This window comes from Homo sapiens, chromosome 15 (genome assembly GCF_000001405.40).
Source record: "Homo sapiens chromosome 15, GRCh38.p14 Primary Assembly".
Classification (NCBI taxonomy): domain Eukaryota; kingdom Metazoa; phylum Chordata; class Mammalia; order Primates; family Hominidae; genus Homo; species Homo sapiens.
The window spans coordinates 78,282,220-78,304,263 of NC_000015.10; the positions used below are offsets into that span (position 1 = coordinate 78,282,220).

Genomic DNA, 22,044 nt, shown 5'->3' on the forward strand with positions numbered 1-22,044 from the left:
TGAGAGCTCACATAAACAGTGTTAGGTGCCTGCCAGCTTGCCTCTCATTGGTTGACATAATGGAATGAAGTTTCCACCCTCATGGAGCTTTATTTTGGGGGTGGGGGTGAATGCAAACAAAAAGTGGTAACTGCTATGAAGAACAAGAGGAATGGGAATGAGTAGAAGGGAATGGGAAGAAGGCCTCTACCAGGAGCTGGCATCTGGGCAGAATCCTGGATGCAGCTGGGGAGCAGATGTCCGAAGGTCTGGAGGGAAAACATTCCAGGCAGAGGAATGGCAAGGATGATGTGGTTACAGGAGGGTGAGCAAGGCAAGCAGGAGGGAGAAGTGGGGGGCTATGATAAAGAGTGTGAGCTTTATTCTGAGGGCAGTGAGTGGTTTGAGGAAAAGCACATGACCTGACTCATAAGCATATGAAGTAATGATCAATAAAAAACACGCTTCCAAGTGTTCAGCTACTTACATCTTTCTCATTAACATGAGTCTCAAGGGGGCTGATGAAGAGGAAACTCTGAGGTACAGATACTCTGAAATAACTAAGGCAGGGCTACAGTTCTACAGCATGAGGCACAGGCTTCAGCCTAGGCATTGTTAAGGCAGCAAGAATAGCAGCCTGCCTTCCGATACCCACCTAGCGAGTTAGAGACCTCTCTGAAATTAATAAGGGGAAGGAGGGCTTGGCAGGGGACATCTTTAATACATCAAGTGGAAGGATGCCCAGATAGACAGGAGTACATAATGTTCCTATGCAGTCAAATATACTCTTTCCTTCAGGACTCCATTCTAAAATAGATTAGCTTCTTTATCACAGCTCCGGGGAGCTCGCTGCTGTATCTCACTGCATAAGTCAACTCCCTGGAAGAGTCAGCCTGTATTTCTAAGCTGGAAAGTTAAAGAAATACCTGGATCTCTTGATGGCTAAGGCAGAGATTTGCTCTTAATGCCAATCCCTCTCACTGTTTCACTGGTAATAGGGTAACTGAAAAAAGAAGCATGTTCAAGGACACCAGTGTTTGCATTAAGAAAGCTTTATGTTAAAGTATGAACAGCATTTCCAATAAAACATGAAAAGATTCATATTGTATCTACAAAATTTAAGTCTTTGCTACAATAAATGCTATATTTCTTTTAAACAAGCCTAAGAAGGTAAGGAATGTCATGATCAATCCGTACATTCTCTTTGCAGCATAAGCCTGGAGACTTTGATGTTTAAATTGGACAATCATAGATGTGAATTTCCTGGTCATCTCCAACAGACACAATTTTTGAACCATTTCCATTGTATTTTACTCCCCAGACCTGTAAATTTAAAAAAAGATAGTTCTACAAATGCCTTTATTCTTTATAATATTTATGAAATGAACATCCTTATTTTCTCGTTATTCTGAATCTACCAAAACTGAGATGAGGATGTTCTTGTACTTTCTAAATCAGTGAGAATGGAGGCTTTAACCGAGCACCTTCCATTATTGCTATTTAATTAGAATTCCTGCCCCTTCCCATACTCCAAAAAAAAAAAAAAAAATCATTTTTAAATACAGTACTAATCAAGACTATCTACAACCCTTTCAAAGAGTCAGAATCCTGAAGTGTAACCTAATGCCAGGAAGACGGAAGCCATAAGAGACCAACATTTATGCTTCCAGGAAGAAAGAGCCCCACAACTACCCCGAGGTCACTGCCTATAGGGAAAGTCACAAACTGCGCTCCTCAGCTGACCCCTTGTGTCCGCCCCCCACAGTCAGTAATTCTCACTCTGTTATTAGTGGCCTATGGAGCCTGCCTGTCCCCAGGAGCTAGACAACATGATATTGTGGACCATAGATTTTTATTTGCTATGTGTTAAATTAACTGATTCACACCTCCTTCCCAGACAGAATTGATGTGGTTGGAGTTTCTCTAATCATAAATAACTTCCTGATTATTAGGAGGTGATTCTGGGTGGTAAGCCTGTCACCCTACTCTGATTTTAGTGTTGGGATTGGGCTGCATGATGGCCTTTCACTCCAGCCTCTGACACAGCACCGCAATGATCCATACATACAAGGAAACACAGCTAGCCAGGACTTACTCCCTGAGTAAGATGCTTAAATCCAGAAGTGGAATATCAAGATAGAACCCCCTCAATTTTGTTGGGACAATTTAAGTTGAAAAATAAGCATGAACAATGTTAGTTAACTTTAAGTTCCATTTCAAAGAGGAGAAATCTATAGGACCATCTAAAAATATTTAAAATATATTAAAAGCCAATATTATATTGCCATGGACATTTTATTTTTTATGCTCAGTTCCCCAAGACCTTACAGTGTGGTTAGGACCAGCAGCCTTGGCCTCACCTGGAAGCCTGTTAGAAATGCAGAATCCCAGGCCCTCTGCCAGACCTAGTGAAGCAGCATCTGCATTTTCACCAGGTTCCCAGGGGATACGAGCACACATGAAAGACTCAGCAGTATTGCACTAGAACACCTTTGCTATTTCACATATTCACCTTGGCAAAGATAAAGTTGCTTGTGAGAACAGTTTCCTTTTAAAGACTGAAAAGTTATCAATAACACTAAAGCCAAAAAACTTGTATGAATTTCCAGCTTCTACTATATTAAAAAAAAAAAAATCACATCTCTTCTTTGGACAGTCCCAAAAATGACAAGCGATGATTGTGTTTAAGCAATGGAATCTCCTGAAGAGGAAGGTCCTTGGTGAGCCTGCCATGGCGCAGCAGCCCCCAGGAGAGGGCCCCAGACACCAGCTGCAGCAATTTCCAAAGACGGCATTTAAAGGCTGTGGGGCTAACACCATGTTTTCCAGCCTATGTGGGGATATGCCTCGTGAGTTGCTAGGCTGACAGCACATCCCAGCCTCTGCACCCCAGACTCTGCACAGGAACTCTGGCTACATGGATGACTGAGCAGATAGAGCAGCTCAGGCCCAGGCATCTACTGGTATCCACAGCTCAAGCAACAAGGTCAGGAAAAGAAAATCTCTTTGGTACAATGGTCAAACAACCCCGACTATCTAAAGATGAAATAATAATGCCATACCTGATCCTGGTGATCAAAGAAGGTGTGAACACAAGTCCTCGTTCCAACATCCCAAACTTTTACACTTTTGTCAGACGAACTATTTTAAAAAGTGAACATTAGTATCGGTTTGAAGTTGGAAGGACTTCGACCAAAAATCCTTTGATGACTTACATTCTTCTAACTTCAGACCCCCCAACCCCATGCCTCGGTACAGGAAATGGCCAGGTATCAGCATCATTGGGTGGCTTTCTCTCCTCACAGGGTAGCCATTTTCCTGAAATTGTGATCTGCCTGGCCCTCATATTAATTGTTCTCCAGGAGTCTCAGACACAGCTACCTATTTCCAGATGGGAGGGAGGCCTGTTAAAGCTTCAAAACCAAGGCTCGCAGGAGGCCTCTAAAGCACTGTGCAATGCCTTCAAGTTGTCCATCTCCTGCTTTCCAACTGTCTTGGCCATCCCAGGCCTGACCAACACTGGGATCTATAAACAACATTTTACAAACATTTACATATTTTAAGTTACCATTGGAACACAAGTCTACCTTAGAGTCACTTTGGTAGAAGCCTCAATTTATAATGAAAAAACTAAGAGTTTTACTGTTTAAAAGGATTACTTGTTGACTTTTGTTCCAGCTAAGGTCAACTAACATCACTAAATAAAAATTTTAAGAACTGCAGAAAAGAAAGGCTAACTGAATAAAAAAGGGTCAAACATCTTTAAATGTTAAGGCAATCTATACAAGAAGACTGCTCTCATCTCCCCAGCATTTTAGAAACTGCTAAGAATCATTAAGTACCTGGAAACAAAGTGAGTGTCATCAGGACAGAATGCAACGTTCAGCACCCAGGAGGCATGGCCGCTCAGCGTGCCAGCCAAATTGGCATGTTGTCTGAAATGGGAAAGTTTCAAACAAAATTGAGATGTTAATTTCTACAGTATAATCACTGAAGTGGAAAGTATATTATTAACTCTGCCAATAAGCTGGACCAAATCTGCTATCCTTATAATGACCATGAATACTATATCAAAAATTCCTCTTTCAATGAAGTAGCTTCATGCATTAGAGACAAATTTTAATAGTAGCATTAACCCATAATGTGTTGACACCACCAAAAGCCAAGAATAAAATCCTTCACAAGCAAAGAGCTGAAGCTCAAAATGAACAAAGAACCACACTACAGAGGCTTCGCAAGCCAACCCCTCAGATGAGGAAATTGAGAACCAACGGGGCAAGGAAGCCATCTGAGGAGAAGGGCAGGTTCAGACTCCTGCCTGCACCAGCAGCCTTTCCGTATGGGGCCAGTGCTCCCAGTCCAAGGAAAGTGTCAAGATGTATTCATTATGACAGATGCAGCTTGGAGAGACCAGTTTAAACCTAATCAAGAACAAGACAGGTCTAATTACAACAGCTATTTTCACTTTTTTAATAAAAATGAAACCCAACCACCTCTGGCAGGAGAACCACCATAAGACCTAACTGAGGTCAGCAATTTTACCCCTAAACACAGACCTCAGCAGAGTGGAGCAGACCTCAGTTAGGGGCTAGGGGGCAGGTGGGATACAGTGGGACCATGGGAGGGTAAAAAGTCCTGGGCCTTAGTAAAAAGATCAGTAGTTGATAGGGGCTCAAGGCAGGAGGAAGGGATGATTTGGTAGAGCAGGGGATTTTTAGGGCAGTGAAACTATTCTGCGTGACACTGTAGTTAGGGGTGGCTACACATAATTTTGTCAAAACTCATAGAATGTACAACACAAAGAGTAAACCCTAATGTAAACTACAGACTTTAATTAATAATAATGCATCAATATTGGGTGAAAAAAACATTCTTGGGTCTTCATTCAGTACCACCTCCTTGGGCAAATCAACCACCTCAGCTTGGGTTTCTCATGTGCAAAATGGGGACACTAATCTGTGCTGCTACCTCATTGGTTGCTGGGAGGATCAATAAAACAGTGGCAATAGAAATCATAAAGTCACAAATGTAAGGAACTGCTGCATTTATACTGCCTCTGCCACTAACAGGCAAGTATAACTCTATAGAGACATCTTCCCCTCTGGGCTACAGCACCCTCACTCAGTTACAGTTAAAAACTGCAGTTAGAATTCTATGTCTAGCTGATAACCTTTTGCCAGAAAAAACTGCATTTTAACCAGAAGTGGGCTAGAAGGAGCAGTGTTTCTACTGTGAGGTTTAAACTCCCAAGCAACTATCACAGGCCCCTGAAAGGACACACATGGATGGTCAGGGTTGCAGTACATGCAGGTGGAGGAGGTCTTGGCACCCATGGCTAAGGTTGGAGTGTGATATGTACATGCAGTGGATTAGAATGCCATGTTCGGGAGCAATGAGCCAGAGGCATGCCTGGCAGTGAGAGCTGACCATAGCACCGAGTCATAGTATCAAGAACACAGATCCAACACATTACAGGGGATACCTCAGTGGGGAATAGGAGTCAGGACTAAAAATGATGGGGGAAAAGAAGAAGACATAGGGGTCCGCACAGATTTACAATGACGGCTGTGAATGAAAGAGGATGATTAACTTGCTTCTATACTCGCAGTCAAGGGCCAAAACCAAAAACGCTCCCATCTAGGCCTGTAGCAGGGCGGCTTATAAACTGACTGCTCCCTAACTAGGGCAGAGGCATGTCTGCTAGAACAGCCCTACCCTTGAAAATGGATGCTCTAATTTCTTCCTGTCCCCAGGGGCCAGCTACAGCCCATGGCTCCATTTCCTCATCTGTATATTACTTACCTATCCCAAAGAATTTGAAATCAGTAAGCTCACAAAAATCAGGCTGCCTGAGAAAAAGTAGCAAGTATCTGATCCTACCAGGGAACCCATGCACATCCTCCTCCAAGCAGCCCTTGAGGACACACACTAAAAATGGGCGCTGAACGGGGGAGGACCGCCTGGGGAGTCAAGGTGTCTGATGTGACTTGAGCACAGGTCTTTACTAGGGCTCCTCCCTAGGGCTCCTTGTAACAATAAAGGGACAAGATGGGCATCAGTAGTAAGGGAGATGCCTTTAAGGTAACTTACACATCATAGATCTTGATGTAGCCATCATCTGAAGCAGTGACAAGGAGCTGGGAGTCCGGGGAAAAGGTCAAGGAGCGAATGGGCATGGCATGGCCTGAAATTCATAAAGGCCCTTGTTAATCTGGTGAACCACTGCCTCCTCACTCAGCTTCCCACTGACAATGCCCCTTTTAATGATTATGAGCCACTGAGTTGAAATGCTCAGGTGCTTCAGGCAGAAAAGCAAGAGTTCTGATTGGGCCTTTCCTCTTAATGTTCTCAAAACATCCACATAACCCCAGTATCTCCTCCCAGAGCCATTTCTCCTTAGTTCCCTTCCCTGCCCTCAGCATACATTGCTTTAAATAACTTTTCTACTACAAATATGGCCACACAAGGATATATACATTGCTCCTGATTTGTAAGGTTGAACAAATTAAGGTATTATTTCCCTATCAAATCCTTTATTATAGTATAAAGGATAAACTATAGCAATGTGAGGACGTAATAAATTCACTTGATTAGAATTCAAAACAGCACAACAGTACGCATAATAAAGTCTCCCTCCAACCTACCCCTGTTCTTTAGCTACCCAGTCCTCCTTTCCAGAGGCCACCGGTGTGGACAGTGGGCACAATACTTTCATCCACCTTCAAATTATCAACAAAAAGTTGTTTCCAATCACAAAGTTCATCAGAATCCAAAATAACAGAAATGAGACATTCATATAGCAAATATATATTAACACACACATACATAATGTGATAGATTACGATATAATAAATAAAAAGTAAGTCTGTTCACCCAAACAAGCACTTAACACTGTTACAAGAACTAGTATGTCTAGGTTAAATCTATAGTGACAGGCCAGGTATGGTGGCTCATGTCTGTAATCCCAGCACTTTGGGAGGCCAAAGCAGGAAGAAATCTTGAAGCCAGGAGTTAGAGACCAGTCTGGGAAACAGCAAGACCCCATCTCCTCAAAAATTTTAAAAACTAGCCAGACATCGTGGTGTGCACCTGTAGTCCCAGCTACCCAGGAGGCTGAGGTGGGACGATCCCTTGAGCCCAGGAGTTCAAGGTTACAGTGAGCTATGATCACACCACTGCACTCCAGCCTGGGAGCGAGACCCTGTCTCTAAAAGAAAACAAACAAACAAACAAAAAAACAAAAAAACAAAAAAAACTATAGTGACAAGACTAAAACCTGGAGGCATTTCAGTTTTCCAATTGAGATTGATATTTTGTAAATCTAATGCCCATTTGCCATTTAATGGCATTTCAATGAAAGAATAATTCTTCCTTTGTGATTTGATAACCCAGTTTGTCAAAATAAGATGATGATATATACCTTCCAGGGTATGCAGAAGTTTTCCAGTTGCAATATCAAAAATATTGATGATTCCATCTATGGCTCCACTGGCTAGGTATTTCCCATCAGGACTCTGTTCAGAGAACATATGGAGAAATTAGCACTTTCAGACTCCGTGTTGTTAAGCTGTCCCTACCAAACACAAGCAAACCTCCTGCTATCTACAGGTCTAACTGGCTACTTGGCAAACCACACCAGTGAGACAGCAGCTGCCTGACCAGACCAAGACAGAATCTGTGGCAAGGACTGCAACAGGCTGGAAGGGTAAACTGAAAGAATCAGAAGGAGAACAGAGAGCAATGTTTCCTTACATATGCAATACTAAGAATGAATTTTCCTCTCGTGTCCAAAGAATATTCCTTTTTCCCACTTTCCACACCAAAAATGTTCACTTTCCCGACATGAGTTCCTGTGGCCAGATACTGGGAATCAGGAGAAAAGGCCAAAGTCCAGGCATCCACTGAACAGAAAAAAGAAGGACAAAAATACAGTGTGAAAAGACTTGGCCTTAATTTTAAAAACTAAAGTTTTACCAAAGGATACATCTTTTTAAATCGGAGTAGCAGTGTCCTGATTCAGAAAATTATGTTGTAAAGATGCTAATTCTTTATCAAGTTTAAATTTAGTTTAAGGGTTTCTTAAATTTTTAATTAAAATAGGACAATATCAAGTGTTAGCAAGGATGTGGAGAAACCAGAGCCTTCATACACTGGTGGGAATGTAAAACGGCACAGCCACTTTGAAAACCAGTTTGACAGTTTCTTAAGTGAAAACAAACACTTACCATGATACTCAGCAATTCTACTCCTAATGAAAACATATGTCCACACAAAGACTGGTACACTCATGGTCTTCGCTTCCTCCTACTTCCTTACTTCTCCACGACTGGGGATTGTCTCTCTTCTCTTTTTCTCTTCCTGTGTGGTGGTTCAGATTCTCCATGCATATTTTCAAGATAGGTAGAAACTAAGTGTCTATTTTCCCTACATTCATTAGACCCAAATTCATCCAAGGAGTTTTACCTTCAGATGAATTTAGCTGCTCTTTAGCTGTCAATAGCAATGCTTGCTTTTGTTACTGGACCAAATAACTGTTGGCTGTTTAATGGCCTGGTCTAGTTTTATGCAGAGTCCTATCCAAAAAGAAAATAAATCCAACTCTCAGACCCCATTCTTCCTTTTTTTTTTTGAGATTGAGTCTTGCTCTGTCACCTAGGCTGGAGTACGGTGGCATAATCTCGAGTTCAAGCTATTCTCTTGCCTCAGCTTCCTGAGTAGCTGGGACTACAGGTGCACACAACCATGTCCAGCTAATTTTTTGTATTTTTTAGTAGAGACAGGGTTTCACCATATTGGTCAGGCTGATCTTGAATTCCTGACCTCAAGTAATCCACCCGCCTCAGCCCCACAAAGTGTTGGGATTACAGGTGTGAGCCACCACACCTGGCCTCTTCTTTTTCTTTCATAACAGTAACCTTTAAAACTTTGCCACACTTGGAGAATATCCAGTAAAAGGTACTGTTTATCAGAGAAAGTGAGCTAGATACATACGCCATCCTTTTACTTGGAACCAATCCAGCACTGATTTCTTCAGCTGCCTTGTGCCCAGGGCTACAACCAGCATGGAATAACACCAGCATTATGAGCCCAGGGAAAGCTTAGGCGCCCAAGATGAAAAGGTAGAAACAGTTCTGTCTCTTCCTCTTTTCTTAAGACCATGCTTATATATTGGAGTCTTAATAGACTTTGCAGGATAGTTTGGGGACCCAAGTCCTCTGTAAGTAATGTAAGCAGGGTAAGGGTACATGTAAAGACAACCATCAGGGGAGTCAGGGTGCGTCTGGGTAGCTTTTTCCAAATACATATCCCACCCCACGTACTCTGAACACTATGATTCAGTGGATCCAAAATATGGACTGGGCAGGCATATTCTTAAAAGAGCTCCAGTGGTAAGAATTACAGACAAGAAATATTGCTTCTGAGGGAAAATGCACTCAGTTTCCAGACAACCCAGCCTCTTTAAAAACTCTGGGACCATCATTCTTTCCAATACAGGAACAGCCTAGAGTGGCTACTGAGCATAACTGGCGGGAGGCGAATCCATCCAGGGCACCAATCAAGGGAACTGTGTTCATGGAACACCTAAGCAGCTCTTCTATCATCAACCCAAAAAGGGGTGTGCCAGAGAAATGCCAGGCTATCTGCACCCTCTAGCAGTTACCACCCATTCTGGCAGAGCAGGTTCTGCTGGGGAATGTTGTGCAGCCATTTATAAGTAAATGTGAAGTTCAAAAGAATCCTGAAATGTCCTCTGCTGCTCCACATTAGTCAGCCTATGACATCATTAATTTCTGTCATCTCAGATGATGTTTACTGAGGCTGATGGACAAGATTATGCTGTTCTACAGTACTTAAAACAAAAAAAATTGATGTTTCTTAAAAGTTTCATATGTATCACATACCAAGAATCACACCCTTTAATCAAAATTAGTAGAGATGACCATGATACAGATCTATAAGGACCCCATGCTTTACATTCTAGGTTTCCGTAAGGCAGTGAATGAATCAGTTCAGAATATGGCAAATAAAGAACCTCTGGAAAATGCAAAATACAGGTCAACGCCAAACCAGCAGTTTTGAAATCCAAAAAGCTCTGGAAACTACAAGCTTTTTCTACAGGTTTACTACCAAAATTCATTTGGCAGCAAAATCTAACCTGAATTGACATAAGGCTATTTATAGCCTTTATTTATCTCCCTTAGTGTAAACATTCATGTTTACTTGCAGAGGTATTAGTCTTTCATTACAGTGCTGTTTCCAGCCCCACTGAGGGTATTATGTGAAATACAGTTCATGCACACATTATCACCCCTCTCAAATCCAAAAAATTCTGAGCTGTAAAACACATTCTATCCCTAAAGATTTTGGAAAAGAAATCATGAACCTCTATTATCTCCCCTACAAGTAAAACTCTTACCAGGTCCTGCATCTATGGACTTTATCTGTTTGCCATTTTCCAAGTCCCAAAGACGAATATGAGCATCAAGAGAGCTGGATGCAGCAATGGGCAGGGTGTGGCTGATGTCCACAGACACCACTCCCAGCTGATGTCCCTCCAGACTCCACTGTAGGTCCAGCCTCTCATCACGCCTTCAACAGGGGACAGAGAAATGGATTTCTTCACAAAGAACACACTTTACCTGGCATCTGAAATTCTGGGTCCCTGTGACTATGCAATACCAATGGTCTATGAAATACAGAATCAGAGAAGAGTTAATGAGCTACAGAACACCAAATGCTGCCAGGTTTTAAATGTAGGACTTTAAGATTTTTTTTTTTTAACTTTAGGGCTTTAATACAGAGTAACAGGAAAACAAGTGGGAAAAATAAGCTGCTGTTTTATACCACCATATTGCTATTGCTTTCTTGCCTAGAAAAAAGTATTTCCCGGACTGCAACTGGAGAGTTCAGAAGCAAAACCTCAGCCCCCAATTTTCCAAGGCTGTATGTTAGGGGAGAGGCACTCACCATTTCCAGACCTTCACCAGGTCATCTAGGGAGCCTGTGACCACTGTCTCAGAGTTTTCCTTCTTGTTTGTCCCCCAAGCAACTGACCAAATGGCATCATCATGGGCTAGAATGGAAAGTGCTTCATTTATAAAGTCTTCTTGCATACGACTTAATGAAGCCGAGATACTGTTCAACAATTGTGAGGTAACATTTATTTGTATTTGCTTTACTATTTTACAAAGTGCTTTCCTATACAGCTTTTATTGAAATTTTGGGGCCACATATGAAAATTGGAGGTTCTGAAGAAGCTACTTGCCCTAAATCTCATGTTTACCAGGCGACAAGGTAGTACTTCGGACTCTAAATCCAGTGTCCTTTCTTTTAGCATGCTATCTGGTATATAGGAGTCTACAATGGCTATCACTTGGCTAAAAACAAGTAAAACCAGTGGGGAAGACCCCCTCCTACCAAGAAAAGGCCTAAACCCGGTAACAGATACTCCGAAAAGATCTTTCGAAACAAGCAGGCAGTTCAATTCTAAACAGTATAGATCTAAAAGAAAATACCTACTATAGCCTCCATATATTAAGTTGCCTTTCCCCACAAGTATCTTTATTATGGTTAATGGGCCAATTATTACATTACAACAATCCTATGAAGTGGGTACTATTAATATCCTCATTTTATAGACAAGGAATGAGAGGTGCTAGGATTCAAATCCAATCTCTATTAATTAAAGTCTACCTTAAGTCTAAGTCTGTAAGCTGCATATTTGGTAGGCCATGCTGTTGTATGTGCAGACCCAGTGTGGATGTAAAAACGTGACAAGTGCACATGGAGGCTTTACCCCTGCCTGGCAACAATTCTCCAGCGATACCTTCCCAAAATATGAATATAAAGGCATTAAACTTAAAACAGCTGTGCACCACAGACAGCGTTGTGGCTTCCATTTCAAACCTCACCTAACTCAAGCCTGCTAACTTGCCACCTGGATGACAATAGCTACATATAAGGTAGTTGACTGGCATGCCCAATTAGCCTACTAGTTACTTACACTAGCTAACCTGAATGATGCTTTTGGCTTAAACGTCAAACTACCTCCATGTCACCTACTTAGAGAGCAAGAGCTTTTATTAGGCATTCCACAAATTCCTTAGGCCTTCTCAAACTCATCGAGGCTATAGTGAAGAAATGAGATGGGTGAGTAGCCCATGCACAAACATGGCTCCTTTTTGGGTACAAAGCTCTGTACCACTGGTCAGTTACAATCCCAGCCCACTCTGACCTGCCACCTGCTCTCCCATCCCTGCCACTGCCACTGCTGCACAGCTCCCAGCCCTCCCCATGCACTCGGTGGCCTCAAGAGAAACTCATTTCACTATTATAGGCTTCACTTTCATTAAGGGCCAAAGCAAGTTCTGAGTTCAGAAAAAGGCTCACGTTCACCTCCCCAGATGAGCCGGCATTAACAGAGTTTTGAGCCTCAAAGCATTTCCTTCTTCCACCTCAGCAGCTGGGAAGCTCCATCATGTCTTCCTCAGGTGGAAAAATTTTCCTCAGCCTAGAATTCCCCAACCTATCATGATGACTGCTTTTTTTTTTTAGCTGGTTGTTCAGGTTTTTGTTGTTGTTGTTGTTGTTGTCTGTTTTTTAAGAGTATTTGTTTTCAGCTGCCAATTCTTCTGCAAAGTGAGTATACTTGAAAACTGCATGTCTGGTCAGCATGACAAAAGTCTTAAACCAGGGACAACACAGTTTTTTTCACAGATGAATTGCTTAAACAGGCAGGCTACTTACCTTGCTCTTGTTTGAAGAGAATACCGTACTAAAAAAGAACAGAAGCCACATTAAACCCATGGTCAGATTTCAGATGTCTCACATTGCCTCCAGAAAGCACTCCTCCCCGAGTAGACAGAGTCACCACAGTGTTAGTTACTTCCTCTGCTGTCAACCTGGCCATCCCGCAAGCTCCTTGATTCCCATTCATGCAAGATTTGTACAGTCATATCAGAAAAAAATTCTTAAAGAAACTGACATTCTCCCCTCCTTCCTACTACCCAAACTCACTCAACAAGAGACCAATAAATTATGTTTTCTTTTTCTGTTCTGATCACCAAGGAAGCTCAAAGTCCAGTTTGTAGCTTAAATTTTGCAGCTGCAATAAGAACACACAGCCTGCCTAACCGTCTATTAACTTTGTCCCTAATCTTATTACAAAGATATGTTTCTCCTGTTCTATCTCCTATTCTGATCTTTTTTTTTTTTTTTTTGTACAACATCTTTTAAGCTTCTTCTATTACTCACTAAATTGTGGTAAAGACTTGGATGAACCAATCCTCCTCTCAGTATTTGCATTTCACTAGTCCCACCTAACACTGTGGTGACTAGGTACCCAGGGTCACCCAGCTCTTTAGGAGCCAGGCAAGAATGAGATGCTAGTTTCTTGACTACACATCCAGAAAACCTACTGGACTTGAACTTGGCAAAGAGACCAATTGATGTTTTTCCCTTCAACACAGGTCTTACCTGGTTGGTCATTTCCTTAACCAAGGATCAAGGACAAAAGGCCAGACAGCTCTGTGGAAACAACACCAGGATTTCAGTGAGGGGGTGTCATCAGGATAGAAGGCACACAGGAAGTTCCCCTTGACCAAGAAAATAAGGCAACTCTTTATTATGAAGTTGTTCTGACACCCTTCTATGGATCAGTCCCTGGAACCTCCTTCGCACTCCCTACCAGGTGGTATGGTCTTCTTTCTTCCTCTGAACCTAGGGACTCAACTAACAGCTAATTCTATCCCATGGTTTCTTCACCTCAAGTGTGACTGCAGAGAGCGACCAGTCTCTGTCCTTTCCTGCTCTTTAGAGAGAAAAAAACCACAGCTCCTTTTAATATTAAATATTATTTATTAAAAACAAACAAACAAACATGGGGGAATCCAAAGATGGCAAAGTTCTTATTTTACATGCAAAAGTCTCAACCAAAAATGCCTTTAAGAGCCAACAGGCAGGTAAATAAGGGCAGAAGCTGGAGGGAGACACGTGTCAAGAGATTGAGAACATCCTGGCTGACATGGTGAAACCACGTCTCTAATAAAAATACAAAAATTAGCTGGGTGTAGTGGCGCACACCTGTAATCCCAGCTACTCAGGAGGCTGAGGCAGGAGAATCACTTGAACCTAGGCAGCGGAGGTTGCAGTGAGCTGAAATTGTGCCACTGAACTCCAGCCTGGGTGACAGAGCGAGACTCCATCTTAAAAAATAAAAATAAAAAATAAAAAAAAAAGGATAGATCTAATTTCTCAGGCTACATTAAGGGCTAATGGTTCTTATTTCTTTGTGTGTGCCAAAGACCCCCTTTGGCGGACTTTTTTTTTTCGAGATAGGGTCTTGCTCCATCACCCAGACTGGAGTGCAGTGGCACAATCATGGTCAATGCAGCTTCAACCTCCCAGGCCAAGTCTTGCTCCCACCTCAGCCCGAGTGGCTGGGACTACAGGTGCGTGCCAACATGTCTGGATATTTTAATTTTTTGTAGAGATGGGGTCTCCCTATGTTGCCTAGGCTGGTCTTGAACTCCTGGGCTCAAGCAATCCTCCTGTCTTGGCCTCCCAAAGTGCTGGGATTACAGGTATGAGCCACCAGACTCAGGCTCAGGATGTCTTTACAGAAAATACACAGGTTTAGAAATGAAACCAATTACAGTAGGTTCTCATTATTCACAACAATTATGTTCTATGAAGTCGCTACAGACACTAAATTATCCAACACAGAACCACTGTTCCTTGGGGAAACAGGTTCCTGAAAGCCTCTGGGCACATTCTTGTCAACCAATCAATACATAATCATGTTTTATGTGTGTTTATGTTTAAAGGCACTTACTGAATATACATTAGTAATTCATTAATACTGAACTCATGCCTAAACAAAGCTTATCTAACACACATATTTTCTCCATAAGACAAATCACAATCTTCTTGCATTTAGAAGCACCTCAGCACTATGCTTGGGGGCTATCTCAAACAGTGGAATCACCGACAAAAAGCACAAAGATGAGAAAAATGTAGCACCAAAGACTGCAAAAATGACATTTGCTTACAATATGAGAGTTGACAAGAAGGCAGTGTCACCTTGTTTGACTTCAGTTGAGAACATGTGCATCAGGCAACTAAAATTTTTCACGTGAAAAAATGTCATGTCTTCCAAAGACCACAAAAGCATTGTAAGTATTAATTTGAGGGCTACAGACAAATTTTAGTAAGTAGGTGAATTCATAAATACAGAATCCACAAATAATGAGGATAGACTGTATGCTAAAATTTTATCAAAATACAAAAACATATGTGCTTCTTTACTGACACATTATATATGTGATCTAGAAGCAAATTTAATAACTACCATAATTTCGAAGTTGCAATGAGCTTACACAATATCATGATATGAAAATATCTATAATTTATATTCATAACAAAGTCACACTGCTAATAATGTGATTTGTTGCCTACATTCACAGTGGAAGAAAATGCTAAATTTCAGTTGGAGGTTAGGAAACATAAAGATGCAATTTTTCCTCTCAGCCAAGTTCACGGCCCTCGCAATTCTACCCATTGGCAGTTTAAGGGACCACACAGTTAAGGCATCCAGGTTCAGGTTACTTTCTTTAAATCTGCCAGCCTAAAAAGCTGCCGAAGGTTTTCCAATAACAGGAAATCAAACAAACAAACAATTTATAACTAATCCTTGCCTATGAAGATCTCAAATTGGTAGTGTTTTGTTTTGGTTTTGTAAAGACAAGTTCTCATTATGTTGCCCAGGCTGGTATCAAACTCCTGGCCTCAAACGATCCTCTTGTCTTGGCCTTCCAAAGTGCTGGGATTACAGACAGGTTGGTAGTGTTTTATTCATTTGTGACCCATGAACAGGGTTCTTTCTGCCCAGGGTAGGAAAGACAGGAAAGTGCTCAAGCCAGTTTGGCTAATGGGAATGGTATTCAACCTCTGCTTCAGCACAGCCTTCTGCCTGCTGAAGCACAGGCTTGTCCTCTTCCCTGTCATTCTGGGCCTCACATTTGGCAATGGATAGAAACAAAAAAAGGAGGAAGGCTTGCGGTAAGCCAGCTTCCAAAAACCCGGGCTCCAAAAGACAAGGGTGTGATTCTATCAATGAGTGCACATTTGAGGATGTACAATGAATCCGGTCCTATTTTAAGTAATACACAAAGATTTAGCTCACTGAAACCTCATAACCCCGCTTACTAGGTACAGTAGTTCTTTAGCTGAGGTTTTGATTTCCACAGTTCCAGAGGTCAACCGTAGTCCAAAAATAGGTGAGTAGAGTGCAGTAAGATATTTTGAGAGAGACCACATTCACATACATTTTATTACACTGTTATAATTCTATTTTATTATTATTGTTGTTATTCTCTTATTGTGCCTAATTTACGAATTAAACTAAGTAATCACAGGTATGTATGTGTAATCTGTATGAGAAAAAACACAGTATAGATGCTCCTCAACTTACAATGGGGTTACTTCCCAATAAACCTATGTAAAGTTGAAAAATTGTAAGTCAAACCACGGTAAGTCAGTCAGGGTCCTTCACTATCCAAGATTTCAGACATCCACTGGAACGTACACCCCGCAGATAAGGGGGGAACTACTATTTTTTTATTATCAGTTCCACTTTTCTAGTAAGAAAAGGGAGGCTTAGAAGCGGTTAAGGAAGCTTCCCCAAGGGACACTAAAAGGTGGATACAAGCTATAGTATAGGCTACCAAGATACACTACCTCTTACTTCAGGGTCTTATGAAGGTCAGAGCTAAGAGACTTTAGACCTTAGCCCTCTCTTGCCATCTTCTCTCTTTGGGAAACTTTTCCCTAAATTTCCTAGGCAGAATTCATCACTGACTCAGTGTTTCCAAGGAACACTACAGATGCCTCTATGAAACTACTCAGGCAAGTCAACAGCCCACAGTATTGCACGGTACTTGGCGTAAAGCGAACCCAGCCTCTGTCTGTACCCGTCCAGTGATGTCTGTATCTGTCCAGCACGCTACCTAAGACAGCGTGGCCCACTACTGGAAAACTTCGGTTAATACAGCCCTCCCAGCTACGGATAAATGATCTCCTCCGCAGAGAAACCAGCCCTAATCTCGATACTGCCCAGAACATTCTCAGGACGCAAAAGGAGGCCACCCACGGGCCTCCCCCACTCCCCTCAGGCCCCGTACACCGAGGAACAGCCAGGGCAAATGGAGCCATGGAAGCCACCCTCAGGCCCCAGGGCCTGGAGCATCCCTGAACGGACCTGCTTACAGGCAGCCTCGGGCCCAACCTCGCTCACTCGCCCTCTGGCCTGGACTGTCAACGGCCCTAATGACCCCAATCCCCAACGGCCCTGCGCTCCAACTCACCACTGCACTGCCAGGCTGCACGTCGGAAGCCGGGCTCCGCGCGACTGCGACGCGCAAAGATGAGCTATCGAAGGGGCGGGGCATCGCGCCGGCCCCGCCCTCACGGCTCGGAGCACTCCGCAGCGCCCGTTGCCGTCGCTATGGCGGGCGCGGGGCAGACGCCGACGAGGGTGGGCGGAGAGAGGAGGGAGGAAGCCAGGTCCTGCTTCCAGAGGAGTGGTAGTTGGAAATTTGCTTCCGGAAGCGCAGACGTTTAGCTTCCGGCAACTGCAGGTTTAGAGGTTTGTGTTGCAATTTCATTTTGTACTTTTGAGATTGGACTAAAGCTAATAACTTCTGTTGCTGAAATAAATTCAGTGAAATCGAGCTTTGTCTTTCAAACTGCTAGTCATGACCCATTAACGTGACAGATATCAGTTTAATAGGTTGTCAACTGACTTTTTTTTTTTTTTTTTTTGAGGGCCAGGCAGAGTAGCTCACGTCTGTAATCCCAGGACTTTGGGAGCCGAGGTGAGAGGCTTGCTTGAGCTCTGGGTTTCCAGACCAGCCTGGGCAACATAGCGAGAGACCTCGTGTCTACTAAAAATAAAAACAATTAGCACATGCCTGTAGTTCCAGTTACTTGGGAGGCTGAGGCAGGAGGATCGCTTAAGCCCTGGAGGTTGAGGCTACATTGAGCCGTGATGACGCCACTGCACTCCAGCCTGGGGAACAGAACTAGACCCCGTCTCAAAAAAAAAAAAAGAGATGGGGCTGGGTGTGGTGGCTCATGCCTGTAATCCCAGCATTTTGGGAGTCGGAGTGGGTGGATCACTTGAGGTTAGGAGTTTTGAAATCAACCTGGCCAATATGGTGAAACCCCGTCTCAAGTAAAAAAAAAAAAAACAGAAACAAAAACAAAATTAGCCGGGTGTGGTGGCATGTGCCCGTAATCCCAGCTACTTGGGAGGCTGAGGCAGGAGAATCGCTTGAACCCTGGAGGCAGAAGTTGCAGTGAGCACAGATCACACCACTGCACTCCAGCCTGGGCAACAGAGTGAGACTGTCTCGAATAACAACAACAAAAAAAGATGGGAAGAGGCTCATGCCCCATTATGGAGGCCGCCCTGTGGCTCAGATGTGGTGGCTCACTCCTGTAATCCCAGCACTTTGGGAGGCCAAGGGGGGAGGATTGCTTCTGGCCGTGATTTCAAGACCAGTATGGGCAACATGGCGAGACCCAATCTCTACAAAAAATTTTAAAGTTACAGACGCAGTGGTGTGCACGTGTAGACCCAGCTGCTCAGGAGGCAGAAGTGAGGATCACTTGAGCCCAGGAGTTTGAGGCTGCAGTGAGCTATGATTGGGCCACTGCACTGTAGCCTGGGTGACAGAGTGAGACCCTGGCTCTAAAAAATATTTTTCGAAAAAACTAGTTTTGAAGTTCAAATATATATATAGAGAGAGAGACGGAGGACTATTAGACCACTTACAACTAGGTGAAGTTCATCTTTGGGGGCTTTTTTTTCTTTTGAGACTGAGTCTTGCTGTGTCACCCAGGCTGGAGTGCAGTGGCGCAATCTCGGCTCACTACAACTTCTGCCTCCTGGGTTCAAGTGATTCTCCTGCCTCAGCCTCCCCAGTAGCTGGGACTACAGGCACCCACCACCACACCCGGCTAATTTTTTTTTGTATTTTTTTTTTTAGTAGAGACGGGGTTTCACCATGTTGGCCAGGCTGGTCTCAAACTCCTGACCTCAGGTGCTCCACCCACCTCTGCCTCCCAAGTTGCTGGGATTACAGGCATGAGCCACTGCACCTGGCCATCTTTGGGGGCTTTTTGAGGAGGCTATGTGTGGTGAGAAATTGGCAAATACACCCACATCTCCCAGGACCTATTCTCTTGTCCTCAGTAATCTCACATTAACACAAAAGAGAAGACATCCTGCAGCTCTTCTGCTGCACACATGACTTCCCTGCATGCCAGCATCCTTAACCCTCAAGTTCACATGTTTCAGAGTGATATGACTAATTTTTCTCAGTCACATTGACTGGAGAGCTATTTCTCTCCTTCCCAGCTCTGTGACATCTCTGTCCATAGAAATTTCATCCAGCCCCAGTGGACCCTCTGCATGTCACTGGCTTAAAAAGTTTGGGTCAAAGTGAGCAGACTTCAAGACTGAATTGTCAAAATTCTTATGTGGCATCTCTTATAAGTCAAGATATCCTTGTAACCATTCTGGATCTATTGGACCAGGGTCAGGCATGTGCCCCTGAAGCTAAGGAAGAATGTACAAATTATATCATGAAGCCAGTGAGCTGATTTTCAAACTTAGATTGACTTAAGTGCTGACTGGTGTTCGGGCACATTCCACAGAGCTAAATACACAGAAACTGACCCTGCAATGGCTGGGATGTGGGTTCCTGAAGTGTGGAAAGGAATTAACATTAGTACTACAAAGCAATGGCTTTTAGCAGTTAAATGAGTGACCTGCTGCCTTCCTGTATAACCAGTTGCCTTAGTTTTGGCCAATCTGCTGCTTTGTTTTTGTTGGTGACATTTACGGGTTTTTGTGGGTTTTGGAAATAGATTATTATGTAACCTCTCCCACACCGAGATAATTGGGCCATCTTCACTCTAACTTTTAGCTTTTGAATATGAAGAAGTATTTTTGAAAGACTCCTACTTTAAGAAGGGTGAAATTTTGGCTGTCAAAAGTGCTCACAACTGTATGACTAAGTGAATTTTAATTTGTGTGATCTGGGGTTATGTAAGGTTTTTTTTCTTTTCTACACATTAACTTTAAATACCCCACCTTCAAATTATTCTAAAAGCACACTGATCACATTTATGCCTTTTAACTTAAAATTTAATTAAAATTTAAAATTAAAAAAGCATAAATGTGATCAGTGTGCTTTTAGAATAATTAAGCCAAATACTAAGGCTTTCCATTTCTGTTTACTTGCTCCCAAATCTGCTACTAATAATTTTCAATTGAAGCCAGTTGTTTTGGATAAAAATTCAATTAATCATCTCAAAAAAGAGAAATGGAATACATTAAGAAAGAAGTAGAATAGAAGATATAAGAGTGCATCATACATAGTAAAGTTACATCATGTTTTATAAAAACTGTTTCACCCATGCGGTTACTGGGTCACAAGTGAAAATCCATTTCTTGCTATGAGTCATGGCCAAACACTTTGAAAATCATTGTAATAAAGACTTTCTAAAGACTTTCCAGCTTTATAATTCTATAATTATGACAAGAACTCCAAACCATTCATTCAAAAAGGATGTATTAAGTACCTACTTTCACCACATTCCCCCAGAGGGCCAGACATATGGGATCATTGGCATGACCTTAGCATTGGGACTATAAAGCTAGAATAATTGGCCTTTTTTACACTGTGGACGTCTCAGGCATCTGATGAAACCAATGAATCCTGTCCCAGAACAATGGGGTTTTTTGGAAGAAAAAATTTTAATTGCTGTTGCAAAAAAACATCAGTATGGAGTAGAAATTGGTTTCTATGGCATTATTAGAGAATATGTTCTAGAAAGTGGAGGTAACTGGATGTAAGATTCTGGCAGCAGTTTAATAGATAACAGTCCCAGATGTTTAGGTTGAGGCCAACGCCTAATTAGGGTGAACGGTTTGTGCGTGTGTAATTTTGGACAATATCTGGAGAAAGGTTACACTGTGCACAAACCAAATTTAATTTTTTTCACAAGTGTTGTAAAGTTTCTTATAATAAAAGGTTTTTGCTACATGCACTTCATTTTCACATTAAGAGTGTTTAGAATACCTAGACACAAAAGAGAGCATTCATGCAAGATATGCTACTCCTTGATATAATAATGCATACAGTTCAAAATGTTTACCCTTTTTTTTTTTTTTTTTTTGAGACAGAGTCTCGCTCTGTCGCCCAGGCTGGAGTGCAGTGACGCGATCCCGGCACACTGCAAGCTCCGCCTCCTGGGTTCACGCCATTCTCCTGCCTCAGCCTCCTGAGTAGCTGGGACTGCAGGCCCCCGCGACCACGCCCGGCTAATTTTCTTTTGTGTTTTTTTTAGTAGAGACGGGGTTTCACTGTGTTAGCCAGGATGGTCTCGATCTCCTGACCTCGTGATCCACCTGCCTTGGCCTCCCGAAGTGCTGGGATTACAGGCGTGAGCCACCGCGCCCGGCCACTGTTTACACTATTGTTGCAGTAGCTGCTGCCATCACCGGGCTGCGGCAGGGAGGCACAGCTGGGGCTGCATGCTGGTGGATGCCTCCCCCTTCTGAGTTGGGGAGAGCTCCCCAGGTGCTGCTGCAGCCGCCCAAACAGCAGTTGCAGATCCAGGCCTCCTGCTTTACGGAGCAGGCAGGGTCGCCACCCTCCTGGGCGGGGCTACAACTGCCCAAACAGCGGCTGTGGATCCGAGCCTCCCGGTGCTCTTGGAGGGGGCTGGGAGCAGGCAAGATCTGCCCTCCTAGGTGCAGGACCCAGAGGGTCTCTGCAGCCTGCACCCTCGTGGACCCCAGAAAGGACCCCACCGCACCCCGTCGCTAGGGGGTGTCTGTTCCTGCTGCCTGGCCTCTCTCTGCTGCCGCCCCTGCTCTGATCATGGAGCAGGGCTTGGGGCCAAGCCCCAGGGGCCATGAATGACAGTAGGAGGCAGATCGATTCCTGGGCAGAAGGGGGTAGGTCTCCAGTAAGGCCCCACCTTCAGGTCAGG

The 22,044-nt window shown here is 43.2% G+C and overlaps 1 protein-coding gene across 5 annotated transcripts, besides 5 other annotated features; it reads right to left on the reverse strand.

Annotated features, from left to right (window-relative positions):
• Window positions 1-1,015: 1,015 nt before the first annotated feature.
• SKIC8 (SKI8 subunit of superkiller complex) lies at window positions 1,016-17,390 on the reverse strand. Of its 5 annotated transcripts, none has more exons than NM_025234.3 (11): window positions 17,343-17,390; window positions 13,456-13,506; window positions 12,727-12,754; window positions 10,948-11,053; window positions 10,397-10,569; window positions 7,732-7,880; window positions 7,400-7,493; window positions 6,070-6,163; window positions 3,822-3,914; window positions 3,042-3,120; window positions 1,016-1,302 (listed from the first exon to the last, which is right to left on the reverse strand). In NM_025234.3, the coding sequence occupies exons 2-11, from the start codon at window positions 13,465-13,467 to the stop codon at window positions 1,213-1,215; spliced, it is 918 nt and encodes a 305-aa protein (NP_079510.1). In that variant the 5' UTR covers window positions 13,468-13,506; window positions 17,343-17,390; the 3' UTR covers window positions 1,016-1,212. The 5 variants fall into 5 exon arrangements, with proteins under 5 accessions (NP_079510.1, XP_011520396.1, NP_001290176.1 ...); XM_011522094.3 differs by having other exon boundaries at window positions 13,456-13,574; NM_001303247.2 differs by having other exon boundaries at window positions 17,237-17,390.
• Window positions 5,905-6,149: a silencer, noted in NCBI's record as "fragment chr15:78580466-78580710 (GRCh37/hg19 assembly coordinates)". NCBI's record gives its function as "represses an EF-1alpha promoter that drives an FKBP-Casp9 reporter gene in an ReSE screen in HepG2 liver carcinoma cells {active_cell/tissue: HepG2}" and the evidence as "EXISTENCE:reporter gene assay evidence [ECO:0000049][PMID:32094911]".
• Window positions 16,588-17,555: an enhancer, noted in NCBI's record as "H3K27ac hESC enhancer chr15:78591149-78592116 (GRCh37/hg19 assembly coordinates)". NCBI's record gives its function as "activates a minimal SCP1, AML or CMV promoter by ChIP-STARR-seq in primed H9 embryonic stem cells {active_cell/tissue: H9 hESC(primed)}" and the evidence as "EXISTENCE:reporter gene assay evidence [ECO:0000049][PMID:30033119]".
• Window positions 17,108-17,457: an enhancer, noted in NCBI's record as "active region_9914". NCBI's record gives its function as "activates an Ori minimal core promoter by ATAC-STARR-seq in GM12878 lymphoblastoid cells {active_cell/tissue: GM12878}" and the evidence as "EXISTENCE:reporter gene assay evidence [ECO:0000049][PMID:35858748]".
• Window positions 17,556-18,522: an enhancer, noted in NCBI's record as "H3K27ac hESC enhancer chr15:78592117-78593083 (GRCh37/hg19 assembly coordinates)". NCBI's record gives its function as "activates a minimal SCP1, AML or CMV promoter by ChIP-STARR-seq in primed H9 embryonic stem cells {active_cell/tissue: H9 hESC(primed)}" and the evidence as "EXISTENCE:reporter gene assay evidence [ECO:0000049][PMID:30033119]".
• Window positions 17,698-17,787: an enhancer, noted in NCBI's record as "active region_9915". NCBI's record gives its function as "activates an Ori minimal core promoter by ATAC-STARR-seq in GM12878 lymphoblastoid cells {active_cell/tissue: GM12878}" and the evidence as "EXISTENCE:reporter gene assay evidence [ECO:0000049][PMID:35858748]".

Bases quoted from the DNA above. Each gene is read 5' to 3' on its own strand.
- SKIC8 (NM_025234.3), bottom strand. The intron at 7,494-7,731 runs GTAAGGAAACAT...TTCTCTGAACAG, and splicing joins TCATTCTTAGTATTGCATAT to AGTCCTGATGGGAAATACCT. The intron at 1,303-3,041 runs GTATGGCATTAT...TTAAATTTACAG, and splicing joins TCTTTGATCACCAGGATCAG to GTCTGGGGAGTAAAATACAA.